The sequence below is a fragment of the Homo sapiens genome, chromosome 4 (genome assembly GCF_000001405.40).
Source record: "Homo sapiens chromosome 4, GRCh38.p14 Primary Assembly".
Taxonomy (NCBI): Eukaryota; Metazoa; Chordata; class Mammalia; order Primates; family Hominidae; genus Homo; species Homo sapiens.
In genome coordinates, this window is record NC_000004.12 from 78,539,645 (window position 1) to 78,564,020 (window position 24,376).

General features: G+C 42.2%; 2 protein-coding genes across 3 annotated transcripts in view, besides 3 other annotated features; both read left to right on the forward strand.

Moving 5' to 3' along the window:
- The window catches only part of FRAS1 (Fraser extracellular matrix complex subunit 1), a 486,947-nt gene extending 482,322 nt beyond the window's left edge, over nt 1–4,625 (forward strand). The window contains exon 74 of the mRNA NM_025074.7: nt 887–4,625. Within this exon, the coding sequence (NP_079350.5) occupies nt 887–1,480 (594 nt within the window). The 3' untranslated portion in view covers nt 1,481–4,625. The remainder of the gene's footprint in view (nt 1–886) is intronic.
- Nucleotides 12,126–24,376, forward strand: part of ANXA3 (annexin A3) — a 58,678-nt gene continuing 46,427 nt past the window's right edge. For both annotated transcript variants that reach the window (NM_005139.3, XM_047450154.1), the window contains exons 1-2: nt 12,126–12,215; nt 14,792–14,844. In NM_005139.3, coding sequence (NP_005130.1) covers nt 14,830–14,844 — 15 coding nt within the window. In that variant the 5' untranslated portion in view covers nt 12,126–12,215; nt 14,792–14,829. The remainder of the gene's footprint in view (nt 12,216–14,791; nt 14,845–24,376) is intronic.
- Nucleotides 12,491–13,242: an enhancer, noted in NCBI's record as "OCT4-NANOG-H3K27ac hESC enhancer chr4:79473289-79474040 (GRCh37/hg19 assembly coordinates)". NCBI's record gives its function as "activates a minimal SCP1, AML or CMV promoter by ChIP-STARR-seq in naive H9 embryonic stem cells {active_cell/tissue: H9 hESC(naive)}" and the evidence as "EXISTENCE:reporter gene assay evidence [ECO:0000049][PMID:30033119]".
- Nucleotides 12,491–13,745: a biological region, named in NCBI's record as "MED14-independent group 3 enhancer GRCh37_chr4:79473344-79474543".
- Nucleotides 12,546–13,745: an enhancer, noted in NCBI's record as "MED14-independent group 3 enhancer chr4:79473344-79474543 (GRCh37/hg19 assembly coordinates)". NCBI's record gives its function as "activates an origin of replication core promoter dependent on BRD2, BRD4, P300/CBP and CDK7 cofactors, and independent of MED14, by STARR-seq in HCT116 cells {active_cell/tissue: HCT116}" and the evidence as "EXISTENCE:reporter gene assay evidence [ECO:0000049][PMID:35650434]".

Sequence of the window (24,376 nt, forward strand, 5' to 3'; positions counted from 1 at the left end):
ATTGACTTTGCATATAGTCACTTGTCATTGTGCACATCATGGCTGCATATGACACTCCAGTTTTTCCTAAGTTCTTTTATATTGCATCCCTTTTTGGTTCTATGCTAGCCCAGCTGATTTTCACGGACATATGAAAAACATTTAAAAAATCATAATACAATACAGCAATTTAGAATAGCAAGAATTACTATTTGATAAACACAAATACCTTAAGTCTTAGCAATGAACATGAACTTTCAAGATGAAATTTCACTTTTTTTGTCTCTAAATATTAATCTATGACCCTTCAGAACTATTATCATGCTTCAGAAGTTATTTCGAAACCATGAAGCATTTTAATGGAGGAAGATGAGGGGGAGATAAAATACTTGATGATATAGCCTGATTGAGAAGGTGTTTAGAAAATGTTTGTCACGTATCTGTGTATTATGCACAGAGTATATGTTTAGTGAATATTTTGTTGAATGACTCCATTTTCGCTGAAGTTCACCAATAAATAGTAAATTGGCATAACACATAATTGAAGGTCACTGTAAATAAATGTGGTTTTTAATGCTATTATTTCACTGCTATCAATAAAGACAGACAAATATAAGCATTCACTTAGCTAAAGAGACCATGAAAGATAATTTCTTAGGCTATTCCATGTACACATAGGGAAACAAAAAAGAATCCGAATAGCTGACTCAAGATCATCTTAATTTGGAAATAAAATAGAACCCATATCTGGTTCAGTTCTCTATGTATTAGTAGACACCAACCATTGCTAATGCTTTTCTGGAAATCAGTTATCTATCAAGGCATATAGTGGCAATTATCCTTCCATTTCCTTTCTTCAGAGGTGGTCTGTGGGCAACAACAACATGTTCGGTTTGTCCCCCTGCAGGTGGAAGCAGGACACCAGTGGTATCTCCAGGTCATCTACATCATTGGCCCTGACACCATCTCAGGGCCCCGGGTCCAGCGCTCTCTCACAGCTCCACTCAGACGCAACCGAAGGGACCTGGTAGAGCCCGATGGCCAGCTGATCCTTGATGATTCCCTCATCTATGACAATGAAGGAGACCAAGTCAAGAATGGCACCAATATGAAGTCCCTGAATCTGGAGATGCAAGAGTTGGCGGTAGCTGCGTCCCTGTCACAGACTGGGGCGTCCATTGGCAGTGCCCTGGCTGCAATCATGCTTCTACTTCTGGTGTTTTTGGTGGCTTGTTTTATCAACAGGAAATGCCAGAAACAGAGGAAGAAGAAGCCCGCAGAGGACATTTTGGAAGAATATCCTCTGAATACCAAGGTAGAAGTGCCCAAGAGGCACCCGGACCGGGTGGAGAAGAACGTGAATAGACACTACTGCACTGTGCGGAACGTCAACATCCTGAGTGAGCCTGAGGCGGCTTACACGTTCAAAGGTGCTAAAGTCAAAAGACTGAATCTAGAAGTCAGAGTTCACAACAATTTACAAGATGGAACAGAAGTTTAATGGAGGAGACCTATGTGTATTTTTTTCTAAAATCATTTTTATAAAATGGGGGGAAATACTGGTATTTTTATAATCTCGCAGATAAAAAAGGGAAAACTATAGCTTTGAGTGGCAGACAGCACACATCACATGCATCAACTCACAACTGAGCTACCTCATTCAGCAAAGAACCACTGAGAACCCCAGAGTATTACAGTTATTTCCGTAGATCCCTTTAATAGTGTCAACAACTGTACACAGCTCCTTCTGTAAGGCTGGTCTTAGAAAACAAGTACTTTAGTATCAGGACAGGAGTTGAACAATTAGGTTAGCAGATGGAGATGAGAGGACTGGGTAGAGTACCATGGCAGATCTCAGAGAGAAGAAGTAGGTACGGGCCTTTGGTTCCCTCCCCCAGCCCCAGCTTTCTCCTACAGGGCTTTTCCTGAGTCCCCAGACAGCAGAGTATGAACTGCTGACACCCAGATTCCATTAAAAATTCTGCTAATCGACACAACACATATATTTGCTCATGATTTCACTTGACAGCGTATGCTCCTTGGCCTCTAATTGTACTTTGCTTTTCCAGAGCCCTTTTTACCTGGGGATTTCAGTGTGCTTAAGTAAAATCCTCTGAAAACCACGGGAGCCTCTGCCTCCTCAGCCACAGAGAACTCCCTCCTACAAAGGGGGAGACTGAAACCCGAGTTAAGGAGGGGCCTGGCAGGCGTATCAGAGCACATTAGTGATGCCCTTCACCCCAGGGAGGTGTCTGTTCCCAACTAGTTTATGTGGCACTGAGACATCCATCCCTGACCAAGGATGCTGCGAAACAGGATCAATGTACTACGGCCTTTTAATTCAACATTGCCATAAATGCTTTAAAGAAAACCCACCACACTTTCCTCCTACTCCGGTCTTTGCCCGTTCCTGTAACAGACAATCCCATGTCCTAGGTATGGTTTTTTATTCTGTTAGTGCTTCGGGAAAGTAAGTGATTCATTTGAATAAGGCAAATTAGGAGAAAGCCCAGGTTGGGGTGAAATCAGACTTAACAGATACATGCTGGTTCTCCTTGCTGTGTGTGACACAGCAGACAGAGGCACTATTCCTGGTGCAGTATTTCAGGGATTTCTCTTTGAGGGGTTCTTTTCTGGTAGCTCAGGCAATTATTTTTACCATATCAGCACATGACAAGGCCATGAACACATGGCTCTAAAATAATTTAGTGTTCAAGTATCAGCTTAACTATTTTGTGTAGGCTACACACAGCTTGCTTTTGTTTCTCTTCTGTTTCTGCCTTATTGGCGGAAACATAAGCGTGCATGCCATGTTGTTTTGAATTGGAGGCACAATTTCATTATTCGAGAGTAAAAGACATGTCCTCTTCTGATGCATGGCACACCATAGTCACCAAGCAAATAACAGAGCCTTCACATTGTGTAATATTTGTATGAGAATGACTCAAGCTCTTTGAGAACATTCCAAACTAGTAACATTTCGCTACTAAAAGCTAGAAAGGATGAACTGTGAAAGGTTCTAGGCAGCTCTGTGAGACTCCAAGCTCCTTGAAAGTAGGACCTTTGTGAGCCACGCCTTTCATTCTTCAACAGTGCCTTGCATGTAACAAGCACTCCAGAAATGTTTGTTGAATGAATGAATGGTGTCATGGGTGAATGATGGGGAGTAAATTTAGGAAGGGGAAGTGAGAGAGTATGGTGGCAATATCACAAGGGAGGAGAGAGGAAAACAATTATCTTCTCTACTTGGATTATGAGATAACCTTTTCTTGGAGGAAAGAAACACCGCTTTACAAAGGCATGACTCTGGCGGTGGTCCTAAGGAAGCATGAGCAGAAAATTCATAAAAATGTATCATCAGCAGGAGATGAGACTATGAATTGGCATCCAGAACAGGAGATTTAGAGCAAAATCTAATTTAGCATTCTGAGATGAGTGTCAGGTTTTCAGGAGAGAATGAGTTGGGGTGAGCCCAGAGTCTGAAACTCCTGACTGGTCAGGTGCTACTTAAGACCAGCTTGGGCAATTCAGGGCAGAACTCCTGTATCAGCCTCATGGACACCCAGAATTGGTATCTCATGGCTGGAGAGCTGATCAGCCAGGCACAGAATCTCCAGAACAACCTAGAGAGTGAATGCTAATTTGTAGAGCGAACTTCCATTTGGCCCATTATTTGTAACTGTGTAACTGCTCCAAGTGCCAGAATGCTTACACGTTAAAGCAGCACCTTTCCATTTGCCCACATATTCTTCTTGCACACCCCTTCCATTACTGCTGAATAGGACATTGCATGGGAAGAGTACAGAGGTGGCAGAATGAAGCTAGAGTGGGAAGGACTAAAGACTGAGCCCCAGAGTGCTCCCAGCAACCGCCACGTACAAGGTCTGAAATGACAAGGGCAAGAGTGAGATAGGAAACTGTGTGTGAAAGGAAAGCCCTTGCAGTATTTCTGCCTCCCTTTCTTTCTGCCTTTCACCCCACTAAATGTATGTTATTGAATGCCAGTACTTCTCTAGTGGATGCACACTTGTTAAATAGTGTTAAGAGATGTGGAGATGAGATATACCCCTTTGATGTAGAATTATTCATTTGGTTTGTTTCATACTTCATTATAGGAATCAAGTAATTTGATGACTAATGTGGATTATATTTCAGTCAAAGCTCTGCTTTCAATTTCTCTGATTTGCTCACTAATGCCTTGTGTGTGTTTTACTAACCTTTTATATCTTGCCTTCAAGTGAGAAGGAACAAACAACTCTCAGTGGTTACTACTTGCTTTTATATGCTGGCTGTGAAGGTTAAAAGAAAGAATGGTCTGTACCATTCTGCTTTGCTGCCCTTTTATTGTACCCCAGGCCTCCTAGAGGACTCCTGCAGATTCTATTGTTGGGTGGGAAATAGTGTTGGAATGTGTTTGCACAGTCTTATGATATTCAGTCTCAGTCTGCTATAGGTATTTGTTATTCTTGGATACTACACACCTGCTCAGACTGAGTAAACATTTGTGGTGCTGTCAACCTGATTTCTTGACTCTCAAATGATTTTTGTATTTCCAATATGAATTTGTGTGTTATGAATTTCTGATTTCTCCAATAGTATATGCCACTATATAAATTTGTATTAATAAATGACAGTCTTGTTGGTTTTTTGTTTGTTTTCCTATGTTCTTTTTAGATTATATCTCTTATGAATATAGACATTGCCATTAAGATGCCAAAATTCATTCTAAATTTGAAGCGGTCTTCTGGAGAAAACCCTTCTAATGAGGGTGAATCTGAGACGCTCATTAACTGTGTTCAGAGTAAGATGCTGAATAAATTATATGTTTCCAGATTATCATAGGTCTTTGGCAATCAGTTGAAATTCTGAGACAAAGAGGAATAATTAAAATTTCCATGTGCCATATAATAAGATGATTTTTGTATTTATTATCAAAACTTCTAAAGAGACATGATATAGTATGAGGGTGGCTTATGTCCTTCTGTGCACATGCAAATATTTGAGCATCCATCACTGACCCTGGAAAAGACCAAAGCTCCAAACAAGAGTTTATAGGCTCATGGAAGGAAAAATCAGAGTCAAAATGGAGCTGTACCCAGCTGGTCTTTGCATTCTGCAAGCCTGTGCATTTGTGTGCCTTTCCCTTCTGATAAAACAAATAACTGCCAATAACAGTGACCAGCAGGGCTCTGTTGGCACGTTTGCAAACTCAGCAAGACTTGAGAAAGCATGTTTATAGAAAATCTGGGGAAGGGATGCCACAACCAATCCTGGAAGTTGCTGAGATGCTGCCAGGAGCTTAATGTAAACTTCCAATCCTCACAATTTCCTGTGATTATCCGTTGCCTTAGAGCAGACTCTCTGCCCTGGAGTTCACTTCTCTAGAGTGCAGAGAAGCTGTACCAGGAATTAATCTAAGAATTGTTAGGATTGTCTATAAAAATGCTTCTGAGACTGGAAATGTCATGGCCATAAAATTTAGGGATCTTGAGGAATAGTGGCAGAAAATGAGTTCCCATTTAGAATTTAAAATGCCTCATAGACTGCTTTTGAAGAAATGCACTGGGAGTGGTGGAAGGAGACTATATTTGGAATATGTTATTACATTCAACTACATGAAATTGATTTGATAGGTTAAAAATAGTCCAATATCAATAGTTTTGTATGTCTCAACCTAATATTATGATACCACAATATGTAATAGAGATTCTGTCCCCAAATGAGCCACAGAGAACTCTTAACTAGAACCCTGTGTGCTGAGAGTAGCTAATGCCCCAGGACTGTTACAGGGACTATATCAAATGATATATTGGGCATATCTGGCAATGCTCCGATCAAGAACAATGACTCACTTATATTCTGTACCTCATTCAGTCTTCATAACAACCCCGTGAGACATAGTTGTCCTGGATAAGTTCCTTTGAAAGTTTCATATGAATTTCAGAATTTCAAATCTTTGAAGGCCTTCACAAGCACAACTTGATGTTGCTTTAAAATGGTCCCAACTCCTATCACCTAAATTTAATGCTTGTCATGAAAAATTACATCACTTGATTAATACAACAAAATAGACCTATGCTGCAACCCTCTCTAAAAAAGCTAGCAGAATTTTATCCCTAGGCTCATTTTGGTTTAAGGCCAAGTTCCAAGATTACTCAGCAAGTTATAAAAGTTATTAGAATTTCGGTCTATGGGATAATTTTCATAAATTGTGAAAAACTAGTATCAAGATATCTCAGTTCCAAGACTACTCAGCAAGTTATAGAAGTTATTAGAATTTCAGTCTCTGGAATAATTTTAATAAATTGTTAAAAACTAGTATCAAGATATCTCCCTTAAACATCCCACTAAGGAATGCTTTAAAAATGAACCAGTGCTGGATACTAGCAACTCCCAAGAGTCCCTCTGCGGCTGATTCTGTTGCTGCACACTGAATCTGCCCTGCCCTGTGCTCTGGGAAACCGACTTTTCATCAACTGCTTCTTCAAGGCTCCCTTGCCTCTTGCTTCTGGTTGAGGTTGGCCAAGTGGAACCACTGATGAGAGAGAAGATGATGTGTGTTTAGCCTCCTCCCTGCTTCCTTCTGCCTTGTGATTCTGGGGTGGCTGCATCCCTCCCTGGCCACAGGTGTCACGGGTTCTGATGAAACCCCTTCCCTCCCTTGCCCACGCAAGGCTAGTCATGATTTCATCCTGTCCCTAGTCCTTGGAGACTATATCATCCCTGTGGATACCTAACCGAACTCTGCCCATGCGTTTGTAAATAGCTCCTTTATTTGACTCTTTATTCAGACCCTTTAAGTACTCTGTCTTTCTGTCCAAACTCTTACACAGTCCTTAAATTCAGTGCCATTTGGTTCCACTTCTCTAATGTAAATCAAAATTAAATACTTGAACTCAAATCTTGTCTCAATTTTAAATTTGCTTGTTATTATAAAGAGTGATGTGCTGATAAATGCTTCACAACTGACCTTTCGGGTAAAGGGAAGCTCCATTTACAGTATTTCCTAGTTTTTGTGTTGTATATACTCCCATTATGGCTGAATACAACCCATTAGCATAATTTCACTGAATGTGGAGTTGGGAAGAGATGCACAGTAGTACCACTTTATGCACTATTTTTCTTTTCTTTTTTTTGAGTCGGAGTTTCGCTCTTGTTGCCCGGGCTGGAGTACAATGGCACCATCTGGGCACACTGCAACCTCCGCCTCCCAGGTTCAGGCGATTCTCCTGCCTCAGCCTTCCCGAGTAGCTGGGATTACAGACATGTGCCACCATGCCCGGCTAAATTATTATTATTATTTTTTCTTTCTGTTTTTCTTGGTTTTTTTTTTTTTTTTAAGATGGAGTCTCGCTCTGTCGCCCAGGCTGGAGTGCAGTGGCGCAATTTCGGCTCACTGCAAGCTCCGCCTCCCGGGTTCATGCCATTCTCCTGCCTCAGCCTCCTGAGTAGCTGGGACTACAGGCGCCCGCCACCACATCCAGCTAATTTTTCGTATTTTTAGTGGAAACAGGGTTTCACCGTATTAGCCAGGATGTCTTGATCTCCTGACCTCGTGATCTGCCCACCTCGGCCTCCCAAAGTGCTGGGATTACAGGCGTGAGCCACTGCGCCCGGCTTATGCCCTATTTTCACCACATGGATGCAATAAACACAACCTGGAAAGCATCACTAATAATAAAATGTCCTCTCCCCCTCCCCCTCCCCCTCCCTCTCCCCACGGTCTCCCTCTCCCTCTCTTTCCACGGTCTCCCTCTGATGCCGAGCCGAAGCTGGACTGTACTGCTACCATCTCGGCTCACTGCAACCTCCCTGCCTGATTCTCCTGCCTCAGCCTGCCGAGTGCCTGCGATTGCAGGCGCGCGCCACCACGCCTGACTAGTTTTCGTATTTTTTTGGTGGAGACGGGGTTTCGCTGTGTTGGCCGGGCTAGTCTCCAGCTCCTAACCGCAAGTGATCCGCCAGCCTCGGCCTCCCGAGGTGCGGGGATTGCAGACGGTGTCTGGTTCACTCAGTGCTCAATGGTGCCCAGGCTGGAGTGCAGTGGCGTGATCTCGGCTCGCTACAACCTCCACCTCCCAGCCGCCTGCCTTGGCCTCCCAAAGTGCCGAGATTACAGCCTCTGCCCGGCCGCCACCCCGTCTGGGAAGTGAGGAGCGTCTCTGCCTGGCCGCCCATCGTCTGGGATGTGAGGAGCCCCTCTGCCTGGCTGCCCAGTCTGGAAAGTGAGGAGCGTCTCTGCCCGGCCGCCATCCCATCTAGGAAGTGAGGAGCGCCTCTTCCGGGCCGCCATCCCGTCTAGGAAGTGAGGAGCGTCTCTGCCCGGCAGCCCATGGTCTGAGATGTGGGGAGCGCCTCTGCCCTGCCGCCCCGTTTGGGATGTGAGGAGCGTCTTTGCCCGGCCGCCCCGTCTGAGAAGTGAGGAGACCCTCTGCCTGGCAACCGCCCCGTCTGAGCAGTGAGGAGCCCCTCCGCCCGGCAGCCGCCCTGTCTGAGAAGTGAGGACCCCCTCTGCCCGGCAGCCACCCCGTCTGGGAAGTGAGGAGCGTCTCCGCCCGGCAGCCACCCCGTCCGGGAGGGAGGTGGGGGGTCAGCCCCCACCAGGCCAGCCACCCCGTCCCGGAGGGAGGTGGGGGTTAGCCCCCCACCCGGCCAGCCGCCTTGTCTGGGAGGGAGGTGGGGGGTCAGCCCCCCGCCCGGCCAGCCGCCCCGTCCGGGAGGTGAGGGGTGCCTCTGCCCGGCCGCCCCTACTGGGAAGTGAGGAGCCCCTCTGCCCGGCCAGCCGCCCCATCTGGGAGGGAGGTGGGGGGGTCAGCCCCCTGCCCGGCCAGCCGCCCCGTCAGGGAGGTGAGGGGCGCCTCTGCCCGGCTGCCCTTACTGGGAAGTGAGGAGCCCCTCTGCCCAGCCACCACCCTGTCTGGGAGGTGTACCCAACAGCTCATTGAGAACGGGCCATGATGACAATGGCGGTTTTGTGGAATAGAAAGGGGGGAAAGGTGGGGAAAGGATTGAGAAATCGGATGGTTGCCGTGTCTGTGTGGAAAGAAGTAGACATGGGAGACTTTTCATTTTGTTCTGTACTAAGAAAAATTCTTCTGTCTTGGGATCCTGTTGATCTGTGACCTTACCCCCAACCCTGTGCTCTCTGAAACATGTGCTGTGTCCACTCAGGTTTGAATGGATTAAGGGCGGTGCAAGATGTGCTTTGTTAAACAGAGGCTTGAAGGCAGCATGCTCCTTAAGAGTCATCACCACTCCCTAATCTCAAGTACCCAGGGACACAAACACTGCGGAAGGCCGCAGGGTCCTCTGCCTAGGAAAACCAGAGACCTTTGTTCACTTGTTTATCTGCTGACCTTCCCTCCACTATTGTCCTGTGACCCTGCCAAATCCCCCTCTGCGAGAAACACCCAAGAATGATCAATTAAAAAATAAATAAATAAATAAATAAATAAATAAATAAATAATAAAAAAAATAATAATAAAATGTGAAATAATTAGGAAGTGGTTAATTTTGAGTACCTATTACCTTTGCTTTTAACGTAATTTATTCAATTGTATTTATTTAACTTGTAATAATGTCTACATTAATACTGGCTGTGAAATAACTGAAAATTCAGGAACTGGCTTTCACATGCTGGTATAACCCAGCTCCAACACATCACTGTAACAGCAGCTATGTATTCAACAGCCACAATCACGTAGTCGGTCTTTCCTTCACATTTTACCATATGTTCTAAATATATCTCAATAACTTTGCTTTAAAAATTTGTATTTGGCTGTTAAATTGTTCTTTTGATCAGGATGCTATAGGAAAATTCCCTTTTTACTAACCTGTAAAGTTCTGTGTATTCAGAATAATGAAACTTTTATTAAATAACCTTTTCTGAATTCTTTTTCTGGATAACCATAAACCTGGATTCTAACAGCATCCTCTAATATTTCCTTCCAAGAAAACTCATCCTTTGGGGAAAAAATAGTTTTATAATATGCCATAGCATGTTTCTAATATAAATGGTGGTAATTGGGCTGTTGATACAACTAGAAAAACTCAAAAAATGATAAAAGTGCATTTGTTAAAGTTACCATCAGGAAATCAAAGAAGTTAAATCCTGAATGGTTTAAACAATTAAAATAAAGCCTACATGTAAAACATCACCTGTTACTCATTTTCTTCTGGCTATAAATCTAGCCCTATGACTTCCTAGTTGCCTGGAATACAACTCGTAGAACTTACTGAGTCCCTCTGAGCCTGTGTCTGTATCTGCAAAATAGAGGCAATCATACCTAATTTACAGCTAGTTGGTAAGCATGACATAGATCACGTACGTCAAGTGCATTACCCAGTGTCTGGCACAAATAATAATAAATATTTTCCCCCATTTCATGCTAATCTCAGAATTTTTTGAGGTAACATGGGATTTAACAGTTTATTGTGGTGAAGTCTGAATGGGAGTCAGGAATTACTATGCAGAACAGAATGCAGAACACCATCCTATCTTCTCTCTTGCAGAAAGCCCATCACTTCGGATTTGTAGATCTGAGAGGGCTCCCAGGGCACTGGCCTTTTAAGCATGACCACTTCTGCCTTCTCCGTTGTAGCTCCTCTTAAACCAGTGGTTCTCAAACTTTAGGATGCATCAGAATCACTTGATGGCGCAGGGTTTCAGGGAATTTGCATTTCTAATGAGTTTCTAGGTCCCAGGACTCAGCCTTAAGGACCAAGACTGTAATCTCTTCAACTCACACTCAAGCAGCTCCAGCCATGCTTATCCTCTAAAAATCCTCTGTGCTCCACCTGTTCACCCTACCTCCTCTCAACTCCTAGAAACCAGTGATTTTTTTTACTGTCTCCGTAGTGTTGCCTTTTCTGGAATGTCATATAGTTGGAATCATAGTGTGTAGCATTTTCAAATGGGCTTCTTTCTCTTAATAATATGCATTTAAGTTTCTTCCATGTGTTTTTATAGCTTGATAGCTAATTTCTTTTCAGTGCTGAATAAAATTCTATTGTATAGATGTATCACAGTTTATTTATCCATTCACCTACGAATTACATCTTGGTTGCTTCCGACTTTTGATACTTAGGAGTAAAGCTACTATAAACATCCATGTGCAGGTGTTTGTGGAGGTAAGTTTTCAAATCCTTCGGGTGAATACATAAGGGGCCCAGTGATGACTGAGTGCAAGCAATACTTTTTACTTACGTGGTCTCGGATAAATCACTTCACTTTTCTAAGCCTCAGTTTTCTCTTCTGCAAATTGTGATAAAAATAGCACCTCCTAGAGTTCCCTTGAAGATAAAAGAGGTAAGGTATTCAAGCACTTCAATGCCTGATACTCAATACATGGTAACTTTTTCTACATCCTTCAGCACACAACTGCTCATAATTCCCTCATACGAGTAGGGCTTTAACCTTTTAGCCTCGATGATTTGTTTTGCTCTTCCAAATGCCTAGAATGCCCTTCCAGGTTACCGTCTCCCTGAGCCTTTGGTTGGAATCCTCATACCAGAGGGTCAACACGTTTAGTAGAGGAATTACTGAAATAGTTGGGTTCCAAACACTAGCTCTGGCATTTACCTTCTGTGTAAATTGGCTGAAGTTACCCAACGTCTCTGTATCTCAATTTCCTCATCTATAAAATGGGGATAATAGTATCTACCTCATAGAGTTGTTGTCGGAGCCATTTTAATGGCAAAAACCGCAATTACTTTTGCACCAACCTAATAAATCCGCGCATATTCTTAAAGAAGTTAGAACAGTGCCTGGTACAAAGTAAATGCCAGATCAATGTTATTAATGTTAGGTGTCCGCCACCTATGCCACGCAGTGAGTTCCTTAGGTATAGGGACAGTCTAATCTCCGAATCCACACTGCCTAGAACAAAATAAGCATTGCAGTACATTTGAGAAAGTAAAGGTGTAGTGGAAACCGAGAGCGAAATGAGGGCGTAGGGAGAAAAGGGTGGGGAAGCTTAGAGACCGGTGAGGGAGCAGAGCTGGGGCGCCTGTGTACAGGGATAGAGCCCGGCGGCAGCAGGGCGCGGCTTCCCTTTCCCGGGGCCTGGGGCCGCAATCAGGTGGAGTCGAGAGGCCGGAGGAGGGGCAGGAGGAAGGGGTGCGGTCGCGATCCGGACCCGGAGCCAGCGCGGAGCACCTGCGCCCGCGGCTGACACCTTCGCTCGCAGTTTGTTCGCAGTTTACTCGCACACCAGTTTCCCCCACCGCGCTTTGGGTAAGTTCAGCCTCCCGGCGCGTCCCCGCGAGCCTCGCCCACAGCCGCCTGCTGACGGGTGGCTTGGGGAGGTCGCGGCGCCTCGCCCAGTTCCCCCGCGAGTGCAGCTCGACCCTGGGCAGGGCTGGCGGCTGGCGCCCGCGCCCGGCCCCAACCCAGCTGCGTGGGTGGGGAGCTGGAGGGACCTCAGTCCTGCATTTCAGAGTCGAGGAGACTGGGCCCACGGGGGGGAAAGTGCCGTGCCATGGGTGGGTCACCCAGGTCTTGGTGGGGCCCAAGCTGATACTCAGCTGTCCTCGCTCCCTGAAAGCTTCGCTTATTACAGCTAGCAGCGTAAGGGATCCACTTAGCCATCTCGGCCTCCCCAGTCCTAAAGGTCTAGGGGACAGAAAAAAGCTGGGAGTCGGAAGGTTCCTCGGGTCCCCGGCATGGCAGACGGGGCTGGCTCAGAGGTCTGCTCTGTGGACTTGGAATCGCACCCATCCTGTGAGCATCTTCTCCCCCTCACATAGGCAATTTATTTTATTTTACTTATTTTTTTTAGAAGGTAGAAAACAGTGGATTTGCATATTGAGGGTTGGAAGTTCAAGAAGTTTGCTTTTTCCTGAAAAGACTAACCGTTTTCTTTGCAACAGAATCCTATTGACTAGATATGAATCATTCCCTTGGTATTTGAGTCACCAGGTGGAAGATTTGGATACTTGATTGCAGATGACCATATATAGGAAAGTATGCAGGTGCTGGGAGGTTCTGGGTCGCTGGAGGCCCCTCTGGCTACTGATACGAAATTGCATAGCCCAGGCCGAATTCTTTCCAAGGATTTGTGTTCAGCACTGACAGCAAGACCCTGCCCTCCGGGAAAGATACATTTACTATGTTCACCAACATCATTTTTTAAAATGTAACTAATTAAAACGTTACTCCATGAAGATACCACCTTTGGTTTTCACGAAGACGGAAAACTTCAGACTGACCAGAAAGGGAATTTTTAAATGTAAAGAAAACCAGAATCTTGTTCCCAGAACTCTGTGGTTGTGTAGAGAAACCTGTTTAGAAATAACCGTAGAGGAGGAAGTAAAAGGAAATGATGTAATCCCTTTCAGGAAAGGATATATTGAAATTCTGTTTAAGTCATTTGGCCTTCGCTGTGGAGTAATTCTTTACATCTTAAAAGTTAAATGATAGATTAGTAATAATTCTTAATAATTTTCCAGTTCTGCTGGATCAATGCATATTAAGTGTCAGATTTGGTCAGGTGTGGGCCAGGCAGCAGATTAAGGCAGAAGCATGGGGGTTAGGTTCATACCTTTAGAGTCTAGCTGCCTAGATGCAGTAGGGGTCCACTCACTAGCTGTGTGACTGTGGGACATTACCATACCTCTCTGGGCTCCAGCTTCTTCATATGCAAAACGAAGATGTAATACCTAACTCACTGGATGATTGTGCGGCTTGTATTAAATCATTCATTTAATCAATAAGTTTTTTTTTTAAATATCTACCGTGCACCAGTGCACACAGATAAGAAGAATCTCCAGCCCTGTGAAACTGACCTCGTTCAATGCTGGCAACACCCCCTTCTTCACTTTTTACAGATGAGGAAATTGAGGCCCAAAGAAATTGTGTTTAGCTTTAAGAGGCAAAATGAGAACCAATAATGCCTTGTTTTCACTGTACAGATGGTTTGACTTCTGATTTTTAGACTTCAGAATAGTTTATCTGGCTGTAACCCCTCATAAGTCAAAGAGCATGTATTTAGAGAGATGCAGTATTAGACTCTAACTGGAGAGTTGACTGCCCTAGGCTACAGAGAGCCTGAAAAAACCAAGGTGAAATATTTCCAGAGACTAATAGTGTAATTTCCCATTGAACTTTTCTCTGGGGGTGTCAGGGAATTTTTAGAATATTTTGTTCCCAGGAAGGGTGGGAGCAACTTGCATTTCTAAATCAACCCTGGAGATATGCCAGCATGTTTGAATAATATCTATTTAAGAAAAATGTGTCTGGCTTCCCAATCAAAGAACTGTGCCTTTCACCTCTGCACCCCACCAAGGACTGGACCACCTCCTCAAAGAGCAGATGTGTCTTTATAACAGACTGTAGGCTTGGAGCCTTGTAAAATGTACATGGAGTTTCACAATCAAGCACAAGGAATCCAACTGAAGGCAGCTAAACTTTGTGTTGATTTGGTGAGGAGGAGTAAAATCCTGTGTTTTTGTTGTTATTGATCCCCGTAGTGGTAGCCTGTCAGTAATCAGCAGAGTTCTCCTGGACTTTAAATAAGTCAAAAATTGGCTTTTCAGGAAGTATATTTGTAAGCATCTTAAGTACAAAGATTTTTTTCTGTCTCTTGTCTTGAAGTCCTCACAGGTCTAGCACAGTCCCTTGCATATGGTAGATGCTCAGTAAATGTTTGTTTAGCAAATGGGATACCCAATGTCAGATATATGCTCTTCCTGAGAAGGTTTTTCTGTGAATGTTGACATCTGTTTTCTGGATTCAAGATTAAGGGTTGGACTAAGATTATTGTGTTCTGAATCACATATTGATACCATTTACTAATTGTTTTCTTTTAATAGATTAGTGTGATCTCAGCTCAAGGCAAAGGTGGGATATCATGGCATCTATCTGGGTAAGTAAAAATTAAGCCTTCACAACACAGTAACATATATGAGTCAAACCAAAACACAGAAGGTCAAGATAGCAAGGAAAATTTTAGGAAAGTTTTTAAGTTTATCTGGCAAAATTAACATGCTAGAAAAGCCAGAGGATGTCAAAAATAATAAAATATTTTTAAAAATGCATTGTAAAGTTACATAGTTAAAATAACTTATGATGACACCAAGGCGGAAAGGTCAAAATCAGATAATAAATTTAGTATATAATTTGGGAATTTATTATATGAAAAAGATGACATATCAGAGAAGAAGAGACGGATTATTCAATAAATGTTAGGAAAACTTCTAGCTGTTTGGGGAAAAAGTAAATCTGTATTCCTTTTTCTCCTTACAATAAAATAACTTCCATGTGGATAAAATACAGAAATGAAGAAGATGAAATATGAATGGGCCGGGTGTGGTGGCTCACACCTGTAATCCTAGCACTTTGGGAGGCCGAGGTGGGTGGATCACCTAAAGCCAGGAGTTTGAGACCAGCCTGGCCAACATGGTGAAACCGTGTCTCTACTAGAAATACAAAAATAGCCCGGTGCGATGGCAGATGCCTGTAATCCCAGCTACTCAGGAGGCTGAGGCAGGAGAATCGCCTGAACCTGGGAGGCAGAGGTTGCAGTGAGCTGAGATCATGCCACTGCACTCCAGCCTGAGAGACAGAGTGAGACTCCGTCTCAAAAAAATAGAAAAAGAGAAAGAAATATGAATGGATTGAAGAATATTCTTGGAGTGGGGAAGATGCTTACAACTGTGACACAAAACCAAACGCCTAAAAGAAAAATATTGATCTATTTTAACTACATACAAGTTTATCACTATGACAGCCAACAATCCCATTGGTAGAGGCAGAAGACAGCTCGCAGGGAAAAAATATTTGCAGCACATTAGACAAAAGACTTATTTCCTTAACATACAAATAACTTGAATAAATTGGTTTAAAAAATGAACTTGACAGAAAAAGTTGTAAGGGACATAAACAGGACATAAAAAGAATTATAAATGTCCAATAACATCAGAAGGTGCTACAAGGTTGGACACAGTGGCTCACACCTATAATCCCAGCATTTTGGGAGGCCAAGATGGGAGGATCATTTGAGCCCAGAAGTTCGAGACCAGCATGGGTAATATGGCAAGACCCAGTCTCTTAAAAAAAAAAAAAAAAAACTTTAAAAATTAGCTGAACGTTGTGGGGTGTACCCATGGTCCTAGATACTTGGGAGGCTCAGGTGGTAAGATCGCTTAAGCCCAAGAGGTGGAGGCTGCAGTGAGCCATGTTCATACCACTGTACTCCAGCTTGGGTGACAGAGTGAAACCCTATCTATTAAAAAAAAAAAACTCCTGCATCTCAGAATTGAAAAAAACATAAATATCATGATGAGAAACACTTTTCTACTTAAGAGATTGGTGAAGGTTAAAAAAAAAAAGTAATGTAGAGGATGTGGCAAGGTGATATTTTTATTCTCTGTTCATGGGAGAGTAAATTTGGTACACTTTTGGATAGTATTTTGGCAATATCTCTCAGTCCTTAAATGCACATGTCCTTTAAACCCAGTAATTCCACTTGTGGGTATGTATCTTATAGATAAACTTGCATAAGGTTGAAAAAATAGGGGCCCAAGTACATTTGTTTGTATTAATGAAAACAAACATGCAGACAGCATAAATGTCCATCGATAGGGTAGGAATAAGTAAATTACTCATTTATAACTTACAGGCATTTTTATGTGATCATTAAAATGAATGGGAAAAAAGTGGATCAGCTGTATGTGAATTGACATTAAAAAAGTCCCAAGATGTAATAATTTAAAAAATCAACTTATAGAGTAATATGTACAGAGGGATTCTGTTTAAAAGAAAGAACAAAGAAAATAAAAAATTTACGGAAAGACTATTACATCAAAACTTTGTGGAAAGGTGGAATTGTGAGAAAGGAATTTTACTTTTCAATATATCACCTTCTGTACTGTTTGATTTTTTTTTTTAATCATGAGCATACATTATATTTTATAAGTAAGGTGGAGGGCAAGTTTAAAGAAAAGCCTGTGCAGAGATGTGACCATCCCTTGGCCTGGCGTATGGATGGAAGGTGTGCTGTTGGAAGGCTTTGTTTGGCCCAAGTTACTCCCTTCTCACTGGCTAGGAGGCTAAACTCTCATCTTTCATCTGAAATCCCTGCTGCTTTTATGAACATATCATAGAATCAGATGAAAAAAGCATCTCTCCAAAATGCTGGTGTTAAAAAAAAAAGTCGCCCTCTGGCCCTCGCCCATGAGTAAATTAACATGGAATTATTTGGGCAGGCTCTCCTGCTGACACCTTCAAAGGCGTGGCACATTTCTGAAGGGCTAGGAGAGACCCAAGTGCGTGTGATCAAGGGTGTATTCATTTCCTATTGCACTATGACAAATTATCATAAATTTAGCAATTTAAAACAACATCCATTTATTATCTCACAGTTCTATATGTTAGAAGCCTGAAATGGGTCACACAGCACTAAAATGAAGGTGTTGTTGGGACTGCATTCCTTTCTGGAGACTTTGGGAAGAATCCTCTTCCAAGCCCTTTTAGGTTGTTGGTAGAATTTAGTTCCTTGTAGTTGTCGAATTGAGTTCTTAGTGCTTGCTGGCTGCCAGCAGAAGCTGTCTTTGGCTCCTGGAGGTCTCTGCCTGTCCTTGTATGTGGCCCCTGCATCTCAGAACCAGCAATGATGCATCAAATCTTACTTATGCTTGGAATCTCTTTGGCTTTTCTTTCTGGGGGATCTCTTTTCTGCCATTCTCTTCTCCCTCCAGCTGAAGACATTTCTCTGCTTTTAAGGGTGCGTGTGATTAAATTGGGCCCACCTGGATAACACGGGCTAATCCCTGTGTTTTAAGGTCTGGAACCTTAATTATGTTTGCAAAGTCTCTTTCATCATGAAACACAATACATTGACAATTCCCAAGGATTATGATGTATACATTTTAGGAGGCTGTTGTTCTGCCTACCACAGGGGCTAGGAGTATGGCTACATCAGGGATGGTAGCATTTGGCATCAGATAGCAGGAAAGAGGTGGGGAGGGGCCAAAAACAGGAGGCTAACCTGAGCCTGGAGGGCAAACCCACACGTGGAGAAAGAGGCCCTAGCCAAAGAAGGGCTCCTACTGTCTCTGGGTTTTTCTTTTTTTTTTTTTTTTTTTCCTGTTTACCTCCTCTCCCTCAATTAAAGAACTAATACTTATGAGTGGCTCAGAGAGCAAACATTAGGAACAACTCAGAACTGCTATGGAAAACAAGATAGCAATTCTCCAAAAAATTAAAACTAGAACTACCACATGCTCCAGCAATCCCATTTCTGGGTATATATCCAAAGGAAATGAAAGCAGGATCTTAAAGAAAGGTATCTATACACCCATGTTCACTGCAGTACTTTTTACAATAGCCAAGAGGTAGAAGCAGCCCAGTTTCCATTGACAGAAGAATGAATAAACAAAATGCGGTACACACACACAATGGAATATTATTCAGTCTTTTAAAAACACATGTTGTGTGAGAGGAAGAAAACCCTGTCACATGCTACTATGTGGGTGAGCCTTGAGCCCAGTATGTTAAGTGAAAAAGCCAGTCCCAAAGAGACAAAATACTGTATGATTTCATTGATAAGAGGTATCCAAAGCAGTCAAATTCATAGGAACAGAAGGAGACTGGTCGTTAGGAATGAATAAGGAAAGAGAAAAAGAGGAGTTGTTTAATGTGTAGAGTTTCAGTATTGAAAGATGAAAAAGTTCTGAAGATGTTTCAAAACAATGTGAATATTCTAACCACTACTGAACTATACACTTAGAAATGGTTAAGATGGTAAAAACCCTCAGATTTCCAATTGTAAACATTCTTATCACAAAGTTTTATGTGTTCTTTTTTTCTCTCTGCCACACAAAACCACATACACACTCAAACATAAATAAGCAATCAAGTCATTGCATTTCTACAAAACTGTATACGTGATTATGTGTATGATTAGTTTATTACAGTGGTATGATCAAGGGAGAAGTCATTAGTTGCAATTTCAATGCATTACCATTGAAGATGAAAGAATGGCTGGTTTCTTAGGTCTTTTATATTCTATCTAGGAGTGTTGCAACCCTACCATTGTTTCAGATGAATCAACAATCTATGTTGCATTAGTATTTCCTTTGTTTGCAAATTTTGAATATCTCTGCTCAGACATATGTTCTACCACTTCACCCTTGATGAAAGGGCCTGATATCTTATTGGTTTGTACTCCTTGGACTTAGAGTCCCTTGTCATATGTTGCCTGTAGGTCCACAGCAAGCACTCAGGAAGCCCACAAATTAGAATGTCTTAGAACGTGACTTTTTATTAAGCTACCACAGCAGTATTTTTTCTGCGTACCTTCTGTTATACAATGCTGGCTTTCTTAGGTAAATACTCTGAGCTCTTTCCTCCTTGATCAATTCCTAACTTACATTTACAGAATAATAATAAATGTAATTCCTATTAGTTTGAACTCTCAAATTAGAATTTTTATTATGGTACTAGAATTTTTCTTTCTTTATTTCTTTATTTTTTTTTGACAGAGCTTCACTGTCATTCAGGCTGGAGTGCAGTGGTGCAATCACGGCTTGCTGCAGCCTCAACCTCCTGGGCTCAAGCGATCCTACTGCCTCAGTCTCCTGAGTAGGTGGGACCACAGGCATGCCCCCACCATGCCCAGCTAATTTTTAAAATTTTTTTATAGAGATGGGAATTCACTGTGTTGCCCAGGCTGGTCTTGAACTCCTGAGCTCAGCTGATCCACCCACATTGGCCTTCGGAAGTGTTGGGATTACAGGTGTGAGCCACCACACCCAGTGGTGCTAAAATTTTTTTAAATTAACTCACAATCATTGTAATCACCATGAACTGTTAGTAACATCCTAACTTGGGATACATTCTCCTTTCACCACTCCAAACTCTAATTTACAAAATGAGGAAAGGGAATATAGAGCTACTCTGCAACCAAGGGATAAGAGAAGTTTTATAAAAATATATTACCTAAATACAATGCCTACTAACTTTGTTTTGAAGTTCATCCAAAACAGTTAAACAATTAAAGCAGCAAGTACCTAGTGCGACAGGCTCTGCTGGGAGCAGAATGAAGACAGTCTAACCAAAATTGTAACTCTCCCTTTCAGAACTCCCTAATCATTTAAAAGGTAGGCTCTTGAGCAAATTGCTTAGTCTTTCTCTACTTCAGTTTCCTCATCTATAAAACAGGTAGGGTAATAGTGCTTATCTCATCTACGGTTTGTAAGCATTAAGCCAGTTCATGTAAAATGTATTAGCAGTGCCTGGCATGGAGTGAGCACTCAATAAATGTTAGTTTTAATCAGCATGATTTCAATATATTAATTTTATTCTAAAATGTATTTCTTGCCAAATAATATCGCTGCAACTGTTTTTGTAGAGGGGCTTCTGCCTATTTCCTGGGCCTGATTTTATTACACATCAATAGCCCCCTCTCCCCATTGGAATGGTTCTTTCAGCCATCTAAAAGAGATGTCATGTCCTCAATCAGATTCCTTCTGACCACTCTTGTTTTCAATATTTTATAATATTTTAAACACATATATATTTCTAAAGACATAAAATACTCCCTTTCCACTCCTAGTGGGCATACTGGAATACAGTTCTGACACTAACTACCCAGCATTAGCATCAGATTCCACAGGATTAAGGGTTCAGTCCTCTGCAAAACTGCCCTCACTTCAGATGTCAGTTCAAGTGTCGGGAATCACCTGCACTTCTGGCCAACTGGCTATAAATTTAGGAGTTTTCATGACCCTCTGAAATTAAAGAATTCCCTAGAATGATTCACAGAACTCACTGAAAGTGCTATCCTTATGAATGCAAGTTTATTATGAGGGATACCCATGGGCAAGCTCTGGAAGGGTCCTGGACCCAGAGCCTCCATGCCCTCTCCCTGTGGCATCAGGGCACCTCACCCTCCTTTGTGTCAGTGTGTTCAATAACCAGGAAGCTCCTCTGAGCCTCAGTGTCCAGAATTGTAATTGGAGTTCCATTATGTAGACACGAATGATTGATTAAATTATTTGTTACATGATTGAACTCAATATCCAGCCCCTCTTTCCTCCTCAGAGGTCTGGCTGACCAGAGTTGCAACCCTGTGATCACAGGGCTAATCTTTCTGGAGACCAGCCATCATTCTAAGGCTATCTAAGGGTCTACCATGAGTCACCCCAATTGCATCACAAAGTCACTCCTATCACTCAGGAAATTCCAAGGGTTTTTGAAGCTCTATGCCAAGAACCAGTGCAAAGACCAGATACATTCCTAATTATACTACACATCTATAACTCACATTAAGGCACACAGTTTCCAATATATATTCTTTTATTTTTGACTAACATTATATTAAAAATAAATAAAGTTATATTAATACCAATGGCCCTGGCTATTTATGTTGATCAGAAGCTCTGATTTTTAGATGTATTTTTCATATGTGGGAAAAATAGGAAAATGAATTAATGTTTGGTAATAAATATAGATTAGCAAGGCAGAATCATTCAAAACATGGGATCCATATAGAAGATACCGAAAAAGGGATCCGCGGTGGTAGAAATGTTGGGAAAGGCTGCCAGGATGGACCCTTGCAGATAGGAAAAGCTAATCTATGATCAAGTGTTCATGGTGAGAGAAGGCACAGCCCCCCTTCCCTCCCGAACACTTCCTCTCTGGTGGGAACAAGATTGGTGCAGTTTGACATATGAGGACACAGTCATCTCATTTCCACTGTTAACCCAGAGGAATGGCAGTAGTGGTAGAGGCTCTTAGGAAAGGTGCAATGTGCTAACATGAGAGAGAAATTTGGGAAGATAATGCCTTTCAAATTCTGTCCCATAGAAGACACCAGCCCTGGGCATTTGGATGCTGTTGTTCCTGGGTTCAAAGAGTTTGTGAGTGTCCTGTCCAGTTTCATACTCCTTGCTTTGACACAGACATCCCATTAGACCTTTCTTTCCTGATGTGATTGCTCTTCTTTGCTATGCAAATTTAAAACGTGTGAGGAGAAAGCTGTGTTCATGCATGTGAATATGCTGAACTCCTCCTCTGGTCTCCCTCACATCTACCACATCCAGGAATGGAAGATCAAGCTTGGTGACTATTTTCACTGAAAGAGACTTTTCACATCCCAAGCAGAACAGGCATCTTTCCTGGTTAGGTGCTGTTCAAGTCTGCTGTGTGTTTTAAACCATGTTCCCTGAAGCTGCTTTAGGTAAATATTGGCATTCAGACAGATACACAAATGGTCTTTTGCAGAAAGTTGATTTAAAACAGGTTAGACCTGGATTTCAAATCAAAACATTTAAGCTTTGTTTTGGGACAAAGCCTGGAAAGTTTCTCATCTGAGTGAGAACAGAGAGGCTTCCTAGGAATGAGTGGAATGAACACTAAAAAGCTGTTCTTTGCCATTCTCTGATGTTAGCCCAACTGTGAAGGAGGGAGGGTCCCTCTTTTATATTTAATCATGATAAAACTATAGTATGCAAAGCTAATGTTTAACCATTGGAAAAGCCTGGTAAATCAGAGGTAAAGAGGAAAATAAAAAGCTCTAGATCAGAGGAAGGAATGTAAAGTGGAGAAGGTATGATTTGTTCTCTTGAAAGTCTATTTTTTTGGTGGATGTAAAGCAGTTAGAAAAAAAGAAGTATATAGAGTACTGAGCAATAAAATGAATACACAGGTCTCACATGAATTATAAGAGAATAAATCAAAAGAGGAGAAAATTCTCAAGTCTATCCCTTCATTATCAGATCTTTATTTCTTTCATTTGTAACTCTTTGTGTTTGATTCAGTACCTCACGTAGGTTCTGGAGGCATGTTTAAATAGGAGTAGTGACAGTCCCATGTGAACAGGGTTTAAGAAAGGTGAAGATTGCATTTGTAGAATTTTTACCATATGGCATGGAGCTCTGAAAAGTCTGACACCGGCATTTGAGAATTATTGAAAGAAACAGGATGCAGAACAAGAAAGCATTTTTAATTCATTTATTCACTCAACTAATATTTACTAACTATCTTTTATATGCCAGATATTGGCTCTGGCAACACAGCAGAGAAAGAGAAATAAAAAGGATGGCACCTACATTTTATTAGGGAAGACAGACAATAAATGAAGAAATAAATGTACAGTATAAAAAGACAGTTTTAAGTGCTCTGGGGAAAAGTAAAGGTGGATAATAAATATGATGGGGGGTGTGATTTTCTGCTCAGATATAGGAGGAGAAGTCAACGTGGCATGAGATGGTGAGCTGAGGGAATATCTCGGGAAAGAGCAGCCAGGCAGACGGAATGATAAGTGTAAGCCCTGAGGCAGATGGGCAAGACACATTTGAATGCAACAGGAAGATTCCCACGAAGCAAAAACAGGGATACAAGATTACAAGGGGATTGGGGGAGGTATTACAATTCTCTTTTATGGTACTTTATTATCCTCCAAGGGCCACAGAGAGTCCCAAGAAGTCTTCACATGGACTGTTCAAGGAGTTTCCATTCTCTAGGTTTACTTTACATTAGGAAGCATTCTTAAATTTGCTGCAACTTCTTGTTGGGATTATCGCTTTTTAAAAAAACTCATAAATAACCCATAAAATAATGCATTTACCATCATGTCCAGTAGACATCATTTACCTTGGCCATTTATGTAAGAAGTATTCTGCCCAGAATATTACAAACAGGAGACATCCCTGATCCCAGTCCCTCACAGGTTTCTCATCCTCATAGGAGTGAGGTGGATAGAGTAAGTGTCCCCAAATCCTGCAAAGCCAGTGCTGTGGTCTAAATGTCTGTGTCGTTCCCCCTCCCCCACCAACCTGCCCCTTATTCATAGGTTGAAATCCTGACCTTCAGGATGATTGGGCGATGGGATCTCTGGGGGGTGATTAGGTTAGGTGGGGATTATTGCCCTTTTAAAAGAGGTCTGAGGGAGCTTGGTCACGTCTTCTGCCATGTGAGAACACAGCCAGAAGGTGCCGTATATGAACCATAAAGTGGACCTTCACTAGACACTGAATCTGCTGGCACCTTGATCTTGGAATTTTAGCCTCCAGAATTGTGAGAAATAAATTTTTATTATTTATAAGACACCCAGTTTGTGGTATTTTGTTATATCAGCCTGGAATGCTAAGACAGACAGCCACCGTTCTCTAGCCAAGGGCCATTTAAGAAGATGTGGATTCTGCACTTCAGTGAGCCAAATTCCCTATATTTCTCCATATATCCAGGAAGATATAAATTCTCTATATATTCCTGTTAGATTGCAGGACCCTTAGACAGGGACGTCTCCCGCAGAAGTTACACATGCACAGGGCTGAGTATGTGGCCAGAATAGCCATGTTAGTCTTCAAATCTTTGTGACCCTTGGCCAAGAGAATTTGGTCAAGAACTCTTAACTAGGTTAAGCACTTTACTTTGATTGTAGAACAAAGAGA